General features: G+C 42.5%; 1 protein-coding gene across 2 annotated transcripts in view, besides 1 other annotated feature; it reads left to right on the forward strand.

The window, feature by feature from the left end:
* SPATA13 (spermatogenesis associated 13) overlaps nucleotides 1–21,356 on the forward strand; it is a 327,268-nt gene that overhangs the window by 46,293 nt on the left and 259,619 nt on the right. Inside the window, exons 4-5 of one of the 2 annotated variants that reach the window (NR_104595.2) lie at nucleotides 7,419–7,675; nucleotides 7,827–8,939. The exons of the other annotated variant lie outside the window; for it this stretch is intronic. The gene's annotated coding sequence lies outside the window, so the exon portion shown is untranslated. Of the gene's footprint in view, nucleotides 1–7,418; nucleotides 7,676–7,826; nucleotides 8,940–21,356 lie in introns of those variants that run through there. 2 annotated transcript variants of the gene reach the window in all.
* Nucleotides 12,416–12,710: an enhancer, noted in NCBI's record as "tiled region #9740; HepG2 Activating non-DNase unmatched - State 23:Low, and K562 Activating non-DNase unmatched - State 24:Quies". NCBI's record gives its function as "activates a minimal TATA promoter and a strong SV40 promoter by Sharpr-MPRA in HepG2 and K562 cells {active_cell/tissue: HepG2 | K562}" and the evidence as "EXISTENCE:reporter gene assay evidence [ECO:0000049][PMID:27701403]".

The following is a 21,356-nucleotide window of genomic DNA, read 5'->3' on the forward strand; positions in this document are numbered from 1 at the left end:
CATATATCTTGGCTACTACTTTGTTGGTTACATTGGTTGCAAATATATTCCCCTCAAAGTATGATTTTTCATGTCGTTTTATGGTATCATGATGAACAGAAGTTCTTAATGTATTCCGTCTTTTTCCTTTTATGATTAATGCTTCTTGTGAGTTAAGAAATCCTTTCCTATTTAAAAGTCACATAGCTACCCTCCTCTGTTTTCTGCTGATTTTGGAGTTTTGTGTTCTTCACATGAAGAGCAGATGAATTATTATTTATTTTGGGGGTGCACTGGGGAGGGAGGTGTGAAGCAAAGTAGAGATCCTCTCTTGTGTTCCAGATCTGGTTTCAGTATTAATTATTTACTAGCCTTAGTGATGGGGAGTGTTCGTGGTTCAGTTTGGGTAAGATGGAATTATTTGGCCCTTTATGTTTGGTAGATACTGTTTACAAAATTGTATGTAGGAATTGGATACAAACTGCTGTTTATTTATTTGTTTATTTTTTATTTTTATTTTTTGAGACAGAGTCTCGCTCTGTCACCCAGGCCGGAGTGCAGTGGTGTGATCTCAGCTCACTGCAAGCTCCGCCTCCCGGGTTCACGCCATTCTTCTGCCTCAACCTCCCAAGTAGCTGGGACTACAGGTGCCCGCCACCACGTCCAGCTAATTTTTTGTATTTTTAGTGGAGACGGGTTTTCACCGTGTTAGCCAGGATGGTCTGGATCTCCTGACCTCGTGATCCGCCCTTGTGATCCTGACCTTGTGACCTTTGCCTCCGCCTCCCAAAGTGTTGGGATTACAGGCGTGAGCCACCACACCTGGCCAACTGCTGTTTATTTTATAGGAAGATTTAAAATGACTGACTCACTATCTTTAGTTTTTGAGGGTACTCTGTTTCTTTATAAGTCAATTTTCTATTATTCTAGAAATGTGTACATTTTGTATTTTTAAATATATAGTATATATGTAAGAAAGTTGATTATAGTATAGTTCAGTCTTTTCTCTCTTATATCCCTGTCATATTACCTTTTTGTTCCTGATATTTTTTGTTTAGCCGTTTTTTTTTTTTTTTTTTGAGACGGAGTCTAGCTCGGTCGTCCAGGCTGGAGTGCAGTGGCACAATCTCAGCTCACTGCAACCTCCACCTCCCAGGTTCATGCAATTCTCCTGCCTCAGCCTCCCAGGTAGCTGGGATTACAGGCGTGCGCCACCACACCCAGCTAATTTTTGTATTTTTAGTAGAGACGGCGTTTCACCATGTTGATCAGGCTAGTCTTGAACTCCTGACCTCATGATCCACCCGCCTCGGCCTCCCAAAGTGCTGGGATTACAGGCGTGAGCCACCATGCCTGGCTGCCTTTTCTTTTTTTTTCAAACTTGCCAGAGGTTTAGTGATTTTATTAATATTTCCAAAGAATAAACTTTTTACTTCCTAATTTCTGTGTTGTATACTTGATCTCTAATTTCACTGATTTTAGCTCTTTATTATTTCCTTTCTTCTACATTCTTGGGTTTTTTGAGTTGCTGTTTTTTATCTTTATGTATTAGTTCTTAGTTCATTAATGTTCAGTTCTTCTTTTCTAGTATAAGCAAATAAGCCTCTTTTCTGGCTGTGTGACCTTGGTCAGGTAACTTAACTTCTCTGTGCCTTAGTTTCATATACTCGAAATTGGGTAACACCAGTATCATAGCATAGTTGTGAAAACCGAGGAAATTAGTATATGCACGGATCTTAGAAGAACACGTGGTGTAGATTAAACCCTTCAGGAGTGCCCTTCCTGCCTGCTTGTTCCTCTTCCACCCCTTTATGCTCTTTACTCTTCCTCAGCTCTGCTCCAGCATCTGCTTAAACATCATTAGCCATGTAACACCAGAAAAACTGTGATGAAATTGTTTTTGTTATAATTCTGTTTTAGTAGTTTTTAATTTCTATTATATTTTTCTTTGATTCATAAATTTAGATGTTTTTATAATTTTTAATTTCCAAACATATAGCCATAAGCAAACTCTTCTCTAACATGGAGTCAGGACTGTTAAAATTTATGGGCTAATACACTTAATCTTTTTTAAATCCACAAGTTACCCTATTATTATTATCTTCTACTTAGGCTTGTTCAGATACACACACATACTTACCATTTTCTTTGCTCATCATTCCTTTTTGCATTTGAGCTAATTTATTTTCTTCCATAGTACACTCTTCCAAAAGTCTTTTAGAGAGGATATCTTGTTGGTATACTGCTCCCAACTTATCTGAATGTATCAGTTCATGTGCAGGTGTCTATATTTTGCCATCATTCTTGAAACAGTTTTGCTGGGTACATAATTCTGGGTTGGTTGTTAGTTTCTCCTAGTACTTTACAGATAATATTCTCCTGACTCCCTTGGTTGCAGTTGTGATGTCAGCTGGTGTCTAATTAAATACAAGGTCCTATCTTTTCTCTTTGGTTGCTTTGAAATCTTTTTTTGACTTTGGCATTCTTCAGTTTTTTAGTGATGTGTCTAGGAGAGATCTGGCATTATATTCTTTATGCTTCCTAATTCTGAACATTGATAACTACTATCAGTTTTGGAAAATTCTAATTGCCTCTCTTTTATTCACCTTACTATCTTTGTATAGAATTCCAATTGAATGTTTGTCCGTTCTTACGCTTCAAGCTTTTACTCACATCTTTCTGTCACTTTCTTTACTCAACTGTGTGTAATCTGCTATTTAACTGTTGCTTTGAGTTTTTCATTTCAATAATTATATTTCTCTATTTTAAAGATTTGTGTTTTTTATGTTTCTGGTCATTTCTAAAAATATCCTTGCTCATGGCTTCAATTTCCCCTGTTTTTTTAAACATGAAAATGTTTTATAATCTACATCTAATAATTTTACTTCCTAAAGTCCTGGTGAGCCTGGGCCAGTATTTTTTTCTTTCTGCTCTCTTTTGTTTCCTCGTATGTGGTTTTTTTGTTGTTATAAGCTTATATTTATTCAAAACCTTTATTTTTAATTATCGAATTTATTTTTAATAGTTTTTGTTAGTAACGGGGTCTCACTGTGTTGTCCAAGCTGAACTTAAACTCCTGGGCTCAAGTGATCCTGTCACCTAGCCTCCCAAGTAGCTGGAACTTACAGGCATGTGCCAACACAGCCGGCCTCTGAAAATCTTTTCGTGGGAATACTTTAAAGTCTGGGGCAAAGATGCATCTTTTACAGAAATAATTTTTGTTTGCTTTTACCAGATGCGTCAGGACAGTACAAATTTGGATCTATTTAATATAAACATTTTAGCTTACATTTTTTTAGACAAATAGTGTGAAATCAAGACCCAAATCCATGTTAGGGCTGGCTGATAGCCACAGATTCTCAGGAGTAGGGTTGCCATAAAAAATACAGAATGTTCAGTTAAATTTGAATTTCAATTAAACAATAAAAAAATTTTGTATGTTATTTACATAAAATTCAAATAAACTGGGGACCCTGTATTTTTAAATATATATTAACATATAGACTGTTCTGTAGAGCATTTTTGGAATCACAGCAAATTTTTTAAATTTAGATTTTGATATTTTAATTTCAGGGGTACAAGTGCAGCTTTGTTAAATACACACACTTGTGTCATGGGGGTTTGTTGTACAGATTATTTCATCACCCAGGTATTAAAGCCTGGTACCCATTAGTTAATTTTTTGAGTCCTCTCCCTCCTCCCACCCTCCACCCTCCGATAGGCCCCAGTGTGTGTTGTTCCCCTCTAGGTGTCTATATGTTCTCATCATTTAGCTCTCACTTATAAGTGAGAACATGCGGTATTTGGTTATCTCTTCCTAAGTTAGTTTGCTAAGGATAATGGCCTCCAGCTCCATCCATGTTCATGCAAAGGACATGATCTAATTCTTTTTTACGGCTGCATAGTATTCCATGGGAATTCATAGCAAAATTGAGTGGAAAGTAGAGTTCTCATATATGCCCTACCTTCTCCTAACACACACACACACACACGCACACACACACACACACACACACATACATACATACATACATATACCCTCCCCTATCATCCACATCCCCCACAGCGTGGTGCATTTGTTAGAGCTGATGAACCAACACTGACACATCATTGTCACCCAGAGTCCCTAGTTGACATTAGGGTTCACACTTGGTGTTGTACATTCACTGGTGTTAGACATAGGTGTAATGGCATGTGTTCACCATTATAGTATCAGATGGAAGAGTTTCACTGCTCTATAAACTCCTGTACTTCATATTTTATTTGGTAAAACTGAAAACCCTACCCATAGGAGACTTTCCTTAAGAGCCAAGACCAAGATAGGTCACTTTCCTGTCAATGGTTTCAGTAGGGTGCTTATGCTCTCCTTATTTGACATTTCTCTGAGGGCACAGCCTTGATGTGTCTTGTCTTCCTGTGGTGCTCTCTGGTTCTTCTTTTCCCTAATCTCCTGCCCACCCATGTTTCCATTAATATTAAAGCCCCAGCCCCAGAGCCTAGAGCTTTAGATGTCCCCAGCGCCCTAGAACTGGAAGATGCCCCAGGCTGTCTGAGTATTCAACAATCTCTTATTTCCCTGGATTTATCTTATGACTTCATTCCTGATTTCAGGGGAATTCTTTTATCTTGCTACTACAACCATACATGTTTAAGGGTTTTGTTCCTTTAAAAAAATATATTGACTCTAATATTCTTAGGTGTTCTGTAGTGGGAGGATTTTTAGAATCTCCAGTCTACCATATTGCCAGCAGTGGAAAAGACCTTTATGTAGGTAATCTCATTTAATCCTCACAGCCCAATGAAATGGATACTATTTTTCTAATTTTACAGAGAACCCTGAGATTTTAAAAGGTTAAATAATTTGCTTAAGTCCACAAAGTAACAACCAATCTTAGAATAATAATTGAATAACCGTTCAATTCTAGCTCTTCTAGTCTCCAAAGCCTATGTTTTCACCCAGTTTACCGCATTTTCTTCCATTTCTCAATATCTTCTCCCATTCAAAGTAGCAAATGGTTTTAAAGCTTATTTTAATTTATTTAGTTGTGGCTGATTTATTCATTGATTGATTGATACCATGCTTAGAACTGCTGCGGAGGGGAGGCCCTTTCATGGATGGCATGGATGCCAGCATTGGGACTGGCCTGTAGGTTAGGCAGGACCTCAGTCTGTGGCAGTTTCTTAGGGCATTTAGCACAGACCAAGGTCTGGTCCATAGCATAACTGGTTGGGAGACTCCCTTCCATTGGTTTCTTTGGATTTGATCTGACTCTAGCACACCAATTCATGCTAGCACATCTCCTAAGCCAGACTTCCAATGTATTAGTTCACAATGAGAGAGAGTCCTTTTCGGTAACTTGTGTCCACTTTCCCAGATCTTTCCAGATACCAAGACAATGGGGAAAACACATCTATGACTAGACATATGCTTGGCAGGAATTACTGCCAAGATTTAAGTAACTTAAAGAAATTAAATGGCCTTTGAGCCATGAAAAATCTGGTGAAATGAACATTTTTAATAACTGAGATTTCTACCACAGAATAGGTCAAACAATGAACATACATTGAGCTTATGTCAGGCACTGTAGATGCAAAAATAGCTAAGACCTCATATGACCTGCCCTTGGGGAATTTATAATCTTGGACCTTCTCTCTCCCTTAAACAATCCTCAGTCAACACTAGAAAATTATCTTTCTTATATCTACATCCAGCATTCTGCAGTTAATTTCAGAGCAGTGGATATCTACTCTGGACACCCTCTGGATTTCCAAGATATTCTGTGTACCATATTTACAAGCTATCACATTAGGTGAGTTCCTTCTTTGGGTCAAGGTTTTCCTTCATTTTTGGATAATTCTTCACCCACAGTTGTCCTCTGTGTTCTAAGTTCTGACAATGATTCTTTTGCTTGGCCAAACTTTAGTCAAGCTTCTGAATCTTCTGCTATGCCCATCTTGCAAAAATTCAGTTTTTGCAAGAACCCTGGTAAGTCAGTTTAGTAAGAACACCCATGCTTGGTGTCTGATTATCCTCCACCATCCCCCAGGTGACGTCTGATCACCCGGCTTCTCTTCAGCAAGAATTCTGGTAGGCTGGTTCAGCTACAACCCCACCTCACCCTGACGTTCCCTCTTAGTGATTTTCTGTCCACTGACTCCCACCCTGCTCCTTGGCTATAAATTCCCACTTGCCCATGCTGTATTCAACACTGAGCCTGCTCTCTCTCCCCTATGGCAATACCACATAGCAGTGGTCCCTATACCCATTGCAATGGTCCTGAATACATTCTTTCTCACTGTGATGTAACAAGTGTCATGGGAATATTTCTTCTTAAACAGTCCACATGGTATTATTCTTAACAACCACTCATATGGCATTAGGAATAAATGGAATGTTGTTGGAATCAGTTCAGCTCTGTCTCTGCCAGAGATTTCATAAGGAGTCGTTACAAATATGTTGGGTTTCCTTTATACTTGTTCACAGGGTAACTGACTGCAAGGAAAGGTTCCTTCCCTGTCGTTTCTGCAGTAATGGAGAGTATAGAAGATTTTGGTTGAAAATAAGGCATTAGAGTTTCAGAAACATGGGAAAATCCAGGGCACGAGCAGAATAACTTCAAAATAACTTTATATTTGAGAGTTAAGTTTGCCCTAAAATGTGACTGAACTTTTAAATATGAGTAAACCTAAATGTGCTCACTACATTGGGGTGGCCTTACCCTAGTGGCTTGCCAGAGTCCAAGGTCCAGTTTTTATTCTTACAGTTCAGTTTAGTTGAGTAAGTAGGTCTGAGACTTAATATTTGTTTTCTATTAATTGGTCACCAACACTGGGAATACTGGGGCGTTTGATAAAGTCCTGGCCAGGGAGAATGACTCATTTGTCTCACTCATTTTGGGTAGATTGGAAAGGTTTGTGTAATACAATACTTTTCATGGAGACAATAAAAATTCAGATTTTTTTCTAGATACATAAAGCATTAATTTAATTTTTTAAAAAGATCTGTCTCTCAGAGGCCTGCACTAAGTCCTTTGATGTTAGGTAGCAGGTGAAAGTCCCCAGACCTGCAAGGTTTGAGTATCATTTGAAAGCAAGACCACTTAGCTAAACTCCCACTCTGTGTGAAGCCACCAAATTGGACAGAACTGCTCAAAACATAGAATTTCAAAAATCTAATAAAAATGAAACGAAAGCAGTCAAGTATAGAAGAAAAAAAGCAATCAAGTCAAGAGGCAGGCATGGAGAGGCTCCTTTCTATTTGTTTCTGATAGGGCCAGAGGGGCTCATTGCATTTCCCTCTGTTCTTGATGGCCAGACCCTCGTGGCATCAGAGATGAACTCTCCTTTTCTATTAATGACTATGGGAATGCTGGCTGTGCAGAGAGGTCTCTCTGGTACCTTCCCCCACCCAGAATATTCTGCTATCCTCTTGGTTTCAGCTCGGACTGACCTGGAAGAAGACCCTGAGGAGAACCCGGGCACACAGCAGCCATTCCAGTCCTCAGCTTCAAGGGGGCTCACGAAGGTTGTGGATCCTTGCCCAGCCTGCAGTGGGGACCTGGTGTGGCATTGAGTGGCTGTGAGTGCTCAGTGTCCCCCATCTCATGCTAAGCACAGCGAAGTAGGGGGAGATTGCGTAGTGTGCTGATGGAGCAGTTGCCTCCACCTGGCTGCGTGTCCCTCCGTCATGTGACAGGTGAGCCCTGCCATCCAGCCTGTGACTTCCTCAGGAAGTCAGTGCCAGGGGAAACGTGGGAAAGGGAAATCAGGAGACTGGAGCAACTTTTTGGCTATTAGAGCTTATTTGGCTTTTATCATGTATCAACAATCATCTTTTTACTAAACAGAAAAGAAGAAGGCAATGGTGTTTTTCTGTAGCAAGTCACTATTTATGGAAGAGGAGACCCTTTATCTGCATCGCAATTCTGAAGATTCCACTTTGTTCCAGTCATTGTTGTGGGCACACTTTCAACATTTGATTAAGAGCCATAAGGGTGGCTTCCTCCACCCACAGAAAAATTCCTCTAAGGAATCATGAGACCGTCGACATTTAGCAGCTGTTTAAAAGACTGTTTAGACTCCTGGGATGATGATGGGGAATTCCTGGAATTATGGTCTTGGGCAAGAAGGGAACTCAAGTAGGAAAGTCAGCAATCTAAATTTCAAACCTCAGGGAACCTTCTTTGTATAACCTGATAATCTCCTTCGCTCAACACAGTGCTTGCTGAGTGAAGGAGTGTAATGGAAAAGAAAGTTAATAATCCCTTGTGCTCTGGATCAAAAATGAGGTAGGAGACCAAATTTTCCATCAAACTGGTTGGGTCCAATCACTTAATGCAAAATGCTTACTTCAGGGTCTGTAGCACTTGTTGATCAATGTACCTAACAGGTCTTAATAGAGAAAGTGATCAATTCAAGCAGTGTCTTCCCAAATTCTATATATATATAACAGATATTGCTGCATAACAAACCAGACAACGCTTAATAGTTTAAGGCAACCGTTTTATTATTCCCCAGAGTTCTATGCGTGGACCAAGGTCACTTGGGCCCTAGTCTTGTGATGTCACTTGGACCACAGTCATTGGGAGGTTCACCAGGTGGAAGCCTCCATGACAGCTCAATCCCATAGCTGCCAGTGGGTACGGCACCTACACGTGGCTGCTTGTATGGCCTGGGATTTTCACAGCACAGCAGCAGGGGCTGAGAGGCAGAGTCCTAGGAGTGATTGTCCCCAGAGAGCAGAAGCAAAAGCTCTCATCAGTCTTCTAAGAGGCTGAGCTGACAATGGGCACAGCACCACTCTGCCATCATCTATGGCTTAAGCATTCACAGGGCCAGGCTAAATTCAGGCTGTCGGAAGATAAACTCCACCTCTCAATGGAGAGAGTTCAAAGCAACTGTGGCCATCTTTACCCCATCAGCTTTCTTGCCAAGAAATAAAGCTCTACATGACACATCAACTTTCATTTATTTAACATTTATCTCAAAAGACATGAGTTAACTGGCAAATAATATCACATTCATAGTAAAAGTCTAAGAAATTAACATCCTATACTTATTGGGCATTGTTTACTTTCTATATGTTTTTGTTTTGTTTTTTGAGACAGTCTCACTCTTGTCGCCCAGGCTGGAATGCAGAGGTGCAATCTCAGCTCATTGCTACCTCCACCTCCCACATTCAGGCAATTCTCGTGCCTCAGCCTCCCGAGTAGCTGGGATTACAGGTGTGCACCAACACACCCAGCTAATTTTTATATTTTTAATAGAGACAGGTTTTGCCATGTGGGCCAGGCTGGTCTTGAACTTCTGGGGTTAAGTGATCTGCTGTCTCGGCCACCCGAAGTACTGGGATTACAGGTGTGAACCACTGTGCCTGGCCTATATGGTATTCTTAAACCCCTTGGTTGAGCTTTGGCCATGGAGACTTGGAACAGAATGTTAGGAGCTTTACAGGCCACAAGGACAGGTTGGTTTTCTGGGTTCCTGGGCACACAGCCTAACTCAGAAGAAAATAAGAAACAAACATGAGAAAAACAAGCCAGAAAAACCTGATTCACAGGAGGCGTGTCACTGAGTTGTACTTAGTTTATATAAAGCAATGGTTCTCTTCAAACTCTTAGTCTCAGGACTCCTTTATGTTCTCAAAAACTGAGGATCTGGCTGAGCGAGGTGGCGCACACCTGTTCTCCCAGCACTTTAGGAGGCCAAGGCGGGTGGATCACTTGAGGTCTGGAGTTTGAGACCAGCCTGGCTAACATGGCAAAAAACCATCTCTACTATAAATACGAAAATTAGCAGGGTGATCATGGCTCACGCCTGTAGTCCCAGCTACTCAGGAAGCTAAGGCTGGAGAATCGCTTGAGCCCGGAGGTTGAGGCCACACTGAGCCAAGATTACGCCACTGCACTCCATCCTGGGTGACAGAGTAAGACCCTGTCTCAAAAAAAAAAAAAAAAAAAAGAAAGAAAGAAAAAACCTGAGGATCCTATGCAGCTTTTGTTTCTGATGGACTAGTTCTACTAATATTTACAATACTAGAAATTAAAATTGAGAAGTTTCAAAAATACATATTCACTTTAAAAGCACAATAAAAATTCCATTACATAAATTCCATATTGTTATGAAAGTATCTATATTTTCCAAAGCCCCAAAGACAATGAGTAGGAACGACAGTGTTTTGGTGTTTTGCAAATCTCCCTGGCGTCAGGGTTAATGGAAGACAGCTGGGCTGTCCTTATCTGTTCTTACATTTAGGCTGAATTTGTTACAATGTGTTGCCATGGCTGAAGTAGAGGAAGAATGTCTGGCCTCACAGAAGTATGGAAGTGTAAAAAGGAGGAGTATGTAAGCAGACTTTTTAGATAATAGCAGGTTAGCTTGAGTTTCTTGACAAGTGTGGTTTCTTACTGGTTAGGTGCACTGTAGAATCTGGAACAGACACCTGAACGTTCTTTAGGTGACTTTTAGGGATGTTTTAGCTCCCCTGCCACCTGGGGCCCACAGGGAGACACCCAGGGACGAGATCTCTCTGAGCCTTGAAGACATTTGCAGCCCAGCCCTCCCTGCTCCTTCCTGCTTGTCTAAAACTTCGCAATTCTGTGAGATCATAGACAAATTGCATCTCTTCTGTGAAGGCTGCTCTCACCTTACTAAACAACAATTATCTCTTACTTTTCTCAATTCAAATAACGTTATTGTCGGTACCACTCATTTGGCCCTTAGTAAATGCTGTCAATTTTTATTGATTGATTGATTGAGATGGCACAATCTCGGCTCACTGCAACCTCCACCTCCTGGGTTCAAGCGATTCTCCGACCTCAGCCTCCCGAGTAGCTGAGACTACAGGCGTGCACCACCATGCCCAGCTAATTTTTGTATTTTTAGTAGAGACGGGGTTTGACCATGTTGGCCAGGATGGTCTCAATCTTTTGACCTCCTGATCTGCCCACTTCAGTCTCCCAAAGTGCTGGGATTACAGGCATGAGCCATCGTGCCTGGCTGATGCTGTCAATTTTAAATTAATTGGCAGATAACCACTTGCTAATTTTTAATTAAGCTAATTGAAAACAGGTTCTTCAATGAGAACACTTGGACACAGGAAGGGGAACATCACACATCGGGGCCTGTCATAGGGTGGGGGGAGGGGGGAGGGATGGCATTAGGAGATATACCTAATGTAAATGACGAGTTAATGGGTGCAGCACACCAACATGGCACATGTATACATATGTAACAAACCTGCACGTTGTGCACATGTACCCTAGAACTTAAAGTATAATTTTAAAAAAATTAAAAAAAAAAGAAAAGAAAACAGGTTCTCGACTAATACTTTATTTATTTATTTATCTATTTGAGATAGAGTCTCGCTCTGTTGCCCAGGCTGGAGTGCAATGGCATGATCTCAGCTCACTGCAACCTCTGTCTTCTGGGTTCAAGCGATTCTCCTGCCTCAGCCTCCTGAGTAGCTGGGACTACAGGTGTGCACACCACCACACCTGGCTAATTTTTGTATTTTTAGTAGAGATGGAGTTTCACCATGTTGGCCACGGTGGTCTCAATCTCCTGACCTCGTGATCCACCTGCCTCGGCCTTCCAAAGAGCTGAGATTACAGGCATGAGCCACCGTGCCCAGCCGGCTAACACTTTTAAAGTTTGTTTTTCCTACAGCAAGCAGAAAAATTGATCGGAGTTTCTTAATCTGGGGTTCGTGGATTAGCTTATTGGGGGCCCATGAAACCCCCAGAACTTGTAAGTGAAATTGTGGATGTCTGTGTATATATATCATTCTTCAGAAATTTTACTCCTCCTTTCCCCCCAGTAAAAGGTTAGTAACAACTAGACTAGATTTTTTTTTTTGAAATGGAGTCTCGCTCTGTCACCCAGGCTGCATTGCAGTGGCACAATCTTGGCTCACTGCAAGCTCTACCTCCCGGGTTCACGCCATTCTCCTGCCTCAGCCTCCCGAGTAGCTGGGATTATAGGCGCCTGCCACCATGCCCAGCTAATTTTTTGTATTTTTTTAGTAGAGACGGGGTTTCACCGTGTTAGCCAGGATGGTCTCGATCTCCTGACCTCGTGATCCGCCTGCCTCGACCTCCGAAAGTGCTGGGATTACAGGCATGAGCCACCGCGCCCGGCCAACTAGGCTAGATTTTTAACAAATATATACTGTGGTCTTTTTTACAGTTTTTAAACCCAATATCTGCTATAATGGGATCAGAAAAGGCCACATCTATAAAAGCAAATCCTTCCTCGATTGTGCCAGGGGGCTTTAGTTCCCTCTGTTCTATGTTTACATTGGAGTCCCAACCATCTGGTTATTTTTGATATTCCAACATAGTCTGTGTTGGGAAGGGAGTTCTTATTCTGTTTCCTCCCATGCACGCAGCGGTTAGTACCAGGGAAGCAGGACAAATCACTGCAGCACTTCAGGAGGGAACCTCTCTTTGTGCTCAGAAGCAAGATAGCATCCAACTCAGGGTCAGCAGACGTCTTCGGTAAAGTGCCGAGAGTAAGGATTTTAGGCTCTGCAGGTCTTATGTTCTCTGTGGTGATGACTCAGCTCTGCCATTGCTGCGCGAATGCAGCCACAAACAGGAAAGTGAGTTGGCCCCTCGCATCCAAACAACTCTATTTACAGAAACAAGCAGGGGCTGCATTTGGCCCATGGGCTGGAGTTCTTGAACCTCTGATCTAATTCACAGCTCACTAGGACGCAGGAGTTATAGTTGTAATAAGGAAGCACAACATCAAAAAATTGGGTGGAATCCTGGGGACTCTTAGGACTTTGCATTCCACCAATCATAGGTAATTCTAGTCTTGGCTAAAAGGGAGCACACAAATCCAGAGAAACCTGCTCATCCCAGGCAATGGGCCAGACAGGCAGCCCTGTGACACAGGCAGGGAAATAGGGGCAGTTTTGTGGTCATTGCTCCAGTGCTCACATACCTTCTATCAGAGACGATTAAAAAAGTTATTGTTTACACCACCACAAACCAGAGTGCAGGCTTGTTAGAAAATCTGGATTGCTCCCTGATCTGCCTCTCTATAATTAGTGAACCTTTCTTCTCTGCTCTGTGCACACAATGAATAAAACGTTCATGGTGTATGATGTCACCACAGTGCTAGAAACACTGTCTTGATTGTTCCACTTTTAATTCTGCCTTTGCGCCTGGCTGTGGCTGCAGCTGCTGGTCATCCCTCTACCAGCTACTACTCAATTTACCAACCTGGTGTTGACAGCTCTACCTTGCAGACTTTCGTGGCAGGAAGAAAGCCTGGTGGGAATGGACATGGTAGGGAGAGCCTCAGTGGCCTCCTTCCTAAGAGAGCACAAATATAGTGGAAGCAGATTCGCAGCTTCTCACAAGTTTAATCTTTAGAATGTGCAGAATCAGAATTCTGCATCTGGCAAATCAGAATTTAAAAGTTGGCAAGCGCTTTGACTTATTTAGGTTTCTTTTATTATCAAGTTCATAAAAGGGCATTTTTCTTTCTCACTCTCAATAGGAATTCTTGGGCCTCGAGGGGTCGTTTCTTAGTTCTTGCTCTGGTTGTTCTTCCTTTTGTCTCTTGCTGTTCTGTGGACTGGAGGGGTCCATAGGTTGTGAGTTTCTTTTTCTGCCTTTTGTAAGTTGCCATTTGTTCTCCCAATCCTGCATGTGACTGGGGTTGGGGGAATTCTGTAGTTGGCTTTGTGCATTGTTTTGTGTACCAGAACTTGGTTTAAGAACAGCTATCAATGCTGTCATAATGATACCACATTTGCTCCAGGAAAGCACACTTTCAGTTACCTCTAGCACCGTCCCCACCAAAGACAGGCTGAGCTCTGATCTTCCCTTCTTGGGCCACTCACTCCTGTGTATGGTGAGGGCCTTTCTGAGTGGTGGAGCCCAAGCTGCATGCAGCTGCTCTAGAAGCAAGGAAGACTGAAGCCGGGCAATGTTTGGCCAATCACAAGCACCGTTTGGTGAGGTGAGCATATTCAGATGATCATTTTAAGTAGCAGTTCCTCTAAAACTTCCACTAAAGGCCATTCAGCAGAAATCCCCCAAACACAGACAGGCTTGAGATGCTGGGTGGCCAAACCAAATGGCGAGTGCCCTATGCCAGCAAAACCAGAGAGAGCGTTAAGTCAGGGTTCTGGCCTGGGGAGGAGGGAGATGACCTCCACTGAGTGCTCTCTATGCATCCAGCTCTGGACAAAGGCCCCGTGTGTCTCACAAACCTGGTTTTTCAAATCAGGAAATCAGTGGCTTGAGAAGTTTAAAGTCCTGAGGCCTCCCAGGTGGTACATGGCTCAACCAACAGCATCTGTCTATATGTTTTTAAGAGCATGACAAGTAGTCATTAGAGTATGGAGTGTAGAAATTCACAGCACCGCCCTTGACAGGAAACCAGGTGTAACTACACTTTTGTGTTCTACAGACACACAGATGGGGTTGGAGAGGAGGCTACCACCAGGACACTGTGGACATTGGAAGGCAAGGGTAAATAGAGTCTTGGGGTCCCGGGGAGACACAGGGGTCCAGGACACAAAGCCTGCCAAGCACCAATTTTGTAAAGTTCAGTTTTAATGAGGAGAAATGACTTGAGGAGAATCCAACTAGGCCTCCTCTCCTGTGGATCCAAATTGTACCAATTGAAAGGGGGAAAAGGGTCGCTTCAAGGCACCCCAACTTTAGATTTTTTAGTAGTCTGAGGCTCTTCTCTTCAGCTTTTGCTGATTGTTTGCTGTCGTTCCTTTATAAAACTCTTCCCAGTTTTTGAGGATACAGATTGTGGTTGGCCCAACACAAGCAGCTTTTGCTCAGGTTAGAGCACCACGAACTCAAATACTGCAGTTGCTGCCCACTGGGAAGCCCCTGGGGGAGACTCGGAGACTCAGGGGGAACGAACAATGAGGCCAGGTGCTGGTGGGTCACATGGTTACAGCTGCATGTGGACAAGCACAATTAAGGCAGTTTTACTGTGAAACAACAAATACAGCAAAATCACAATGCCTGCCTGTGCTCTTATCTATAGGAACATTGTGGGATGGGGGTAGGATGTGGCTGAAATGGTGCAGCCCTATCCACTTAGCTTGATTCAACCCACAGTAGCTCAGAACCACACTGGAAAATGGGAGAAGCTTGTTTGTTAAATAAAAGGTGGTGACATGTTTTGAAGAATCTCCTGGCAATTTAATTGTTATATAAGTTATTTGGATTTTTAACAAAGGACGTTTCAACCTGAATTTTACAGATAAAGGGTTTTTGTTTCTCTCTCTTTCAAGCTCATTTTCCCTATTGACAAATTTTGACCCAGGTCAGAGTAGCATAATCCATGATGCCTATGTCCAAATTAAATGACTCAGAATCAGAATCTCACATGTAAATAGAAATCTCACAGGGTGTGAAAGATATCGTCATATAACAGATAAAGCTAAACAAAATGTCAGTATCAGTTTTATCAAATACCTTGTAGGTCAAAGGTTAAACGATGTTGGAAGCACAGATAAACATGCAGTTGTGTCAGGAACCATGGTGATGTTAAGGAAATGTTTTCTTTTCATTCTTTTTCTTCTTAGTGGGAAAATATCTATCAGAAAGTAGAAAAGAAGGGAGGTGAGGGCTGGGCTGGGGAAAGGCAGTTGTCAGGATGAGTAGTGGATCAGGGCATCCCATTTATTCTCACTCAACCCAGGAGAAGGTCACACACAAGCCATGTCTAGAAGGAAGGTGGGAAAGCGTGAGACAGGTAAGGGAAGGCTGGCCTCAGCCGAGCAAAGGGCAGAGAAGACTTGGCCACCAATGGAAGCTTTGCAAAGAGCAGGTGGAATCAGAGTGAGGCGTAACGGTCAATTGGAATGTATCTGACACACAGTCCTCGCCTTTTCCTCATGCTGTTCGAAAAATGTTGCCTAAAGCCTGTTTAGAAAGTGTACCAGGGAATTCCTTGCTCTTGGTTTGTGTGGGGCACAGAGGCAGCCACGTGTGTCACATTTCAAGGCAGGTGGACCAACTCTAGGGGCAGCGCAAGCTCCCTTCAGGCACATTTGCTGAGAAAGCGCGGTGTCCTCTGTGTCACGGGAGCGTTGGCTATGACCACCTAGTGTGGGTTGTGAGAGAGAAAGCAGGGTCCAGAAGGTCGTTCTGTGTCTCTTTTCTTACTCCTAAATCTTAGGGAGATACTATTTGCCCTGAGGCTGATAGATAAGCTCCATTGGTTTCAATGGAAATGTTCAACCCTAGCTGAATGGGAGACACAGGAAAAATTAACATAAAATGTAAAAGTTCAAGTTGGAAAGCCAATGATGCAGTTCTAGCCTTTGTGGAAAGATCCATAGGCCGCTTTCTGAGATGTTGCGTGTTCACAGTGCTTCTGTTTCCAAAGCAAACCAGGCTGCTGTGTGAAGCCATTGGTGCCGATCCTCACGAGTCACTGAGATCAGAGACACAAGTGCACGTCCACCACCGTGGACTAACTCACATCTCAGAGACACAAGCGCACATCTATGCCCGTGCGCGAACTCACTTCTCAGAGCACTGGCTCATGGGCGGTCAGCTGGTGTATTCATTACCAGGGGGTAAACCTTACTGAACTAACTCAAAGGGGAGAGCTTCTCAAAATGCATTGTGCATGCATATAATTGGGAGAGCTTGATAAAGACAGAAATCCCTAAGTGTGAATCCCAGAGAGGCTGCCTCACTTGGTCAGCGGTGGAGCCCAAGAATCTGCATCTTACCAAGCTCTCCCAGTTCATTCTAACACATGTGGTCTGAGAATCGCATGTTGAGAAACACCAGGGGAAACGTGCGTTTAAAAATAGTTCCTCAGACGCCTACTGTCTGTTTAGATTTACAGTTGATAGAATGATGCAAATGTATAAAAATACCTCCGTAAATATATCCTCAAGTGGCCTGGGTTGAGAATGAACCCTTTCGCAATGTGTGTCTTAGTGAATAATGCCAGTATTGGCTCAGTTGAGTGGAACACACACAAACTCATTAAATTTCAAGTGTTCGTTTCAGGTGTTGGCGAGGTCACATCTCTCCTTCAGCTTAGGTCACATAGAGGAACATCAGCAGCGGGTGGCCTCGGTGTTCTCCGCACCGCCTCTCTGGCTTGGTGGTTTATCACTCCTCTCCCTTAGCTGCCTCGCCTTGGACATGCGTCTTGGCTATGACAAACATGCAAGGGATTGCGTGGCCAAGAGTAGTGGGTTGGAGCCTAGGAGTCCAGGTACTTATGTGGTGGATGCTACCCTTTTTTGTGGTCAAACACCACGTCCACTTCTCCCATCTCAGCAGCACTGGTCCCTGCAGCTTGATGGATTGGGAAATCATTTGTAGCAACCATGGGGATACTCAGGAAAAGAACACTGAGAACATTGCACCTCCCAGGTTCTGGACCTTGATTGATATTACACACACACACACACCCATGAACACACACCTCTGTGCACATGCATCTTGCACACCCAGAGTCTTGAGCTCACTGGTAATCTCCAGCTTAGAATTCACCATTGTCAGCTTGGAGAAAACAACATGCTTTTCTGGAGAGTAAAGGCCTCAGTGAATCTGTCCCCAAATTGTATGTCTCTCGTAACTTTGAGGGAATTTTTTTTTGTTGTTGACAGCCTTATGCCAAAGGGAAAGGATGAAATATTGGGCATGGCCTGCTGGTCGTGAAAGGTCACATTCTGCAGCATGTTTTCCCGATTCTGTGCTGATTCATCACACACTGAGATTTTCTATTAAATACCCTTCCTGACTCTATTGGAAATGACTGTAAGTGGAACAAATGAAGTCACCCTCAAAATAAGGACTGCCAGGGGAGGGGTAGGTGGCAACTTTAACTGCTCCCCAACCTTGGGAAGTGGGGTTAGTTTTTTTCCATTTTGATGGTGCTGCTTGGAGGTAAGATGATGGATTTACACTGGTGGAGCATTTTGCTTTTCACAGGGTGCTCTGAGCAGGAGGCGGTCAGGGAAAGTACTAATTCTGTTTCTTCCATGTTGAGAAGCTAAAGCCCGGAAGGTGGAGGGCTCCTGCCCTGGCTGGGGAGTGGCTGCCTGAGCCTGGCCCGGGGCTGCTGTGCTGCAAGCCACACCACAGTGATGGCCTGGTGGGCCTCTGCTGCCTTTGTTTGTTTGATTTAATTTGTTTTTCTTTCTTTCTTTTTTTTTTTTTTTTTTGAGACGTAGTCTTGCTCTCTTTCCAGGCTGGAGTGCAGCAGCGCTATCATGGCTCACTGCAATCTCCACCTCCTGGGTTCAAGCGATTCTCCTGCCTCAGCCTCCCAAGTAGCTGGGACTACAGGCACCTGCCACTGCGCCCAGCTAATTTTTGTATTTTTAGTAGAGACGGGGTTTCACCGTGTTGGCCAAGATGATCTCGATCTTTTGACCTCATGATCCGCCCACCTCGGCCTCCCAAAGTGTTGGGATTACAGGCATTAGCCACTGCTCCTGTCCTGTTTTTGATTTAATTTTCAGTTGACACATGATAACGTACAGGGTACAGTGTGATGTTTCAATACATGTTTACATTGTTTAATGATCGAATCGGGGTAATTAGCATATCCATCATCTCATACTTGCCATTTCTTTGTGATAAGAACATTCAAAATTCATTCTTCTAGTTATTTTGAAATATACAGTACATTATTGTTAACTATAGTCATTTGCAATGTGGATGAACCTAGAGGACATTATGTTAAGTGAAATAAGACAGGCACAGAAGGACAAATACTGCGTGATCCCACTCATATGTGGAATCTGAAAATATCCATCTCCTGGAGACAGTAAATAGAACGGTGGTTTCCAGAGGAGGGGGTGGGGGTGGGGGTAGGCAGAGTGAAGAGAGGTTGGTCAGTGGGTACAAAGTTACAGTTAGATAGGAGAAATAAGTTGTGAGCCTTTTAAAATTCAAACCCTCCCTTTCTTCCTTTATTCTTTCGTGTTTCCCTTGAACTCCCTCTCTAAAAATAAAATCCAGGGCGGCGGAGTTTGTAAGATTTTCCTCTTACAATGACATTTTTGAAAATCACCCTATGTATAATTTATATCACTCATTGCCAATCCTTCTGACAAAGTTGTATGTTTCTGTGGCATTCTTGGAAATTTGTACCTGAAAGATTGTCTTCTTTGAATAACTGATCTATTTCCTTTTATCAGATAAGATTTATGTTCTTCTTGTCTTCCAGAAAGCTTAGAGCTAAATTTAATATTCGACCATGACCTTTGTATTATGTTTCTTCCCTTTCTATGAGGTTTTAAAAAGGTCTGCATTTTAGCCTTATTTTATACACACCTTTTAGTATGAGCCAAAGTTTTTGGAAACAGGCATTTTGCATAAACATTTTTTTCTCTCAGTTTAAATTGCTGCGACATGAAAACATCAAATGCCCTAAACAAGCTAAGATTATTAAATTCAATTAGGTAGGTCACATAATACACGTTTTTTAAATTGTTACAAACATTGTAGAGTAAATGTTGTTATGGAAGAAATTTAGTATGTAAAATGACACTGTAAACAATACCAGGCTCATGACAAAGGGTCATGAAATAAAATCAGTCCTCAAGGGAAGTCGAGAAGTTCAACGGAAGAATGCTAAGGCTTCATTTTTGTTGTGAAGAATCGCCAAGCAAGTCCTATAAAATACATGGGAAAAGATCATGTTTGCCCTGCAGAGAGACACAGGCTGAGCCACAGGGTTGCTGGGATTTGTTCCAACTGCAGGCTCTCGGCCTACCAGGCTGCCTTCCTCACCTCCTCATGGTCAGGTAGCAGGTGTGTGGTCTCAGATGAACTGATTCCATTCTGAGCCTCATTTCCCTAATCTGGAGAATGGGATCATAGTACCCACCTCAATGGGCAATGTGAACAATTAAAGTGATTTGTGAGAAGGGATTAGCACAGTGCCTGGCACAATTTTCCTTCATATTTGAATTCTACTACCTTGTAAAAAATACAAAGCATTGCATGTTCTGTTTCATAATAAATGCTGTGCAGAACCATGCGTTAGATTTTTTTTTAAGTCTTGCTGGAGTGTATCACATATGCAGAAAAGCGTCTAAGTCAAGTGTGTAGCCGCCTGGATTTTTACAGTGAACACTCATGTACTAGCATTTAGGTTAAGAAACAGCCTCAGAAATCCTCCTCCTGTCACCTCCTAGTCAATTTCCCATCCTAGGAAGTTACCCACTATCCTGACTTCTAACACCATAGATTTCTTTTGCCTTTTTTTTTTTAAGAGTCAGAGTGTCGCTCTGTCACCAGGCTGGAGTGCAGTGGTGTGATTATAGCTCACTGACACCTCTGACTCCTGGGGTTCAAATGATCCTCCTATCTCAGCCTCCACAGTAGCTAGGACACACTGCCACAACCAGCTAATGTTTAAATTTATTGTAGGGATGGAGTCTTGCTATGTTGCCCAGGCTAGTGTCTTGCCTGTTTTTGTGCTTTACATAAATGGAGTCATATGGTGTGTACTCTTTTGTGTCTGGCCTCTTTCACTCAATATGTTTGCAAGATTCATCCATGATGTGTGGGTAGCAAGAGTTTGTTATTAGTTCCTGTAGCTGTATAGATGTCCAATGTATAATACCGAAATTTATTAATTGTACTATTGATAGAAATTTGGGTTTCCTGTTTGAGGACTTTATGAATAAAGCTTATATGAACATTCTTGTACATCTTTGGTAAACATACACCCATTTCTATTGGATATATACCTAGAGATGTAATTGCTTTGAAGGTATGCATATTGATCAGTGTAATCACCAGATCCTTCTTGACCACTGCAGAGATAAAATCAGTTCACTGAGACAGCGGTATTGCAGTAGAGAACAAGTTTAATAAACAGGGCTAGCCAAGCAGAACAGGAGTTTATTACTTTATTACTCAAATCAGCCTCTCTCAGAACTCAGAGGCTAGTCTAGGTAGGGGTTTCATGGCTAATTTGGTGAACAGCAGGCTAGGGAATGAGTGCTGCTGATTGGTTGGGGATGAAATTGTAGGGGTGTGGAAAATGGTCCTGGTGCACTGAGTCCACCTCAAGGCGGGGTCCACAGGACTAGTTGAGTCATGAGTCACGGGTCAGGTGCAGTCATTCATTTGCCAGAATGCAGAAGTCTGAAAAACATCTCAGAATAACAATCTTAGGCAATATAAAAGTAGTGTTATCTATAGGAACAATTGGAAAAGTCACCAATCCTGTGACCTCTGGCCACATCTCCTAAGAGGCAAGGAATTATAGAAAAGCAAGCCAGAGAACAGTGGCTGGTTATCATTTAAGCCTACATGTTAGTAGAATTCAGACCTCTCCCAAAATCCTAATCTTGTGGCCCTGCATTCATTTTACAAAGGCAGTTTCGGTCCCTGAGCAAGGAG

The sequence above is a fragment of the Homo sapiens genome, chromosome 13 (genome assembly GCF_000001405.40).
Source record: "Homo sapiens chromosome 13, GRCh38.p14 Primary Assembly".
Lineage (NCBI taxonomy): Eukaryota > Metazoa > Chordata > Mammalia > Primates > Hominidae > Homo > Homo sapiens.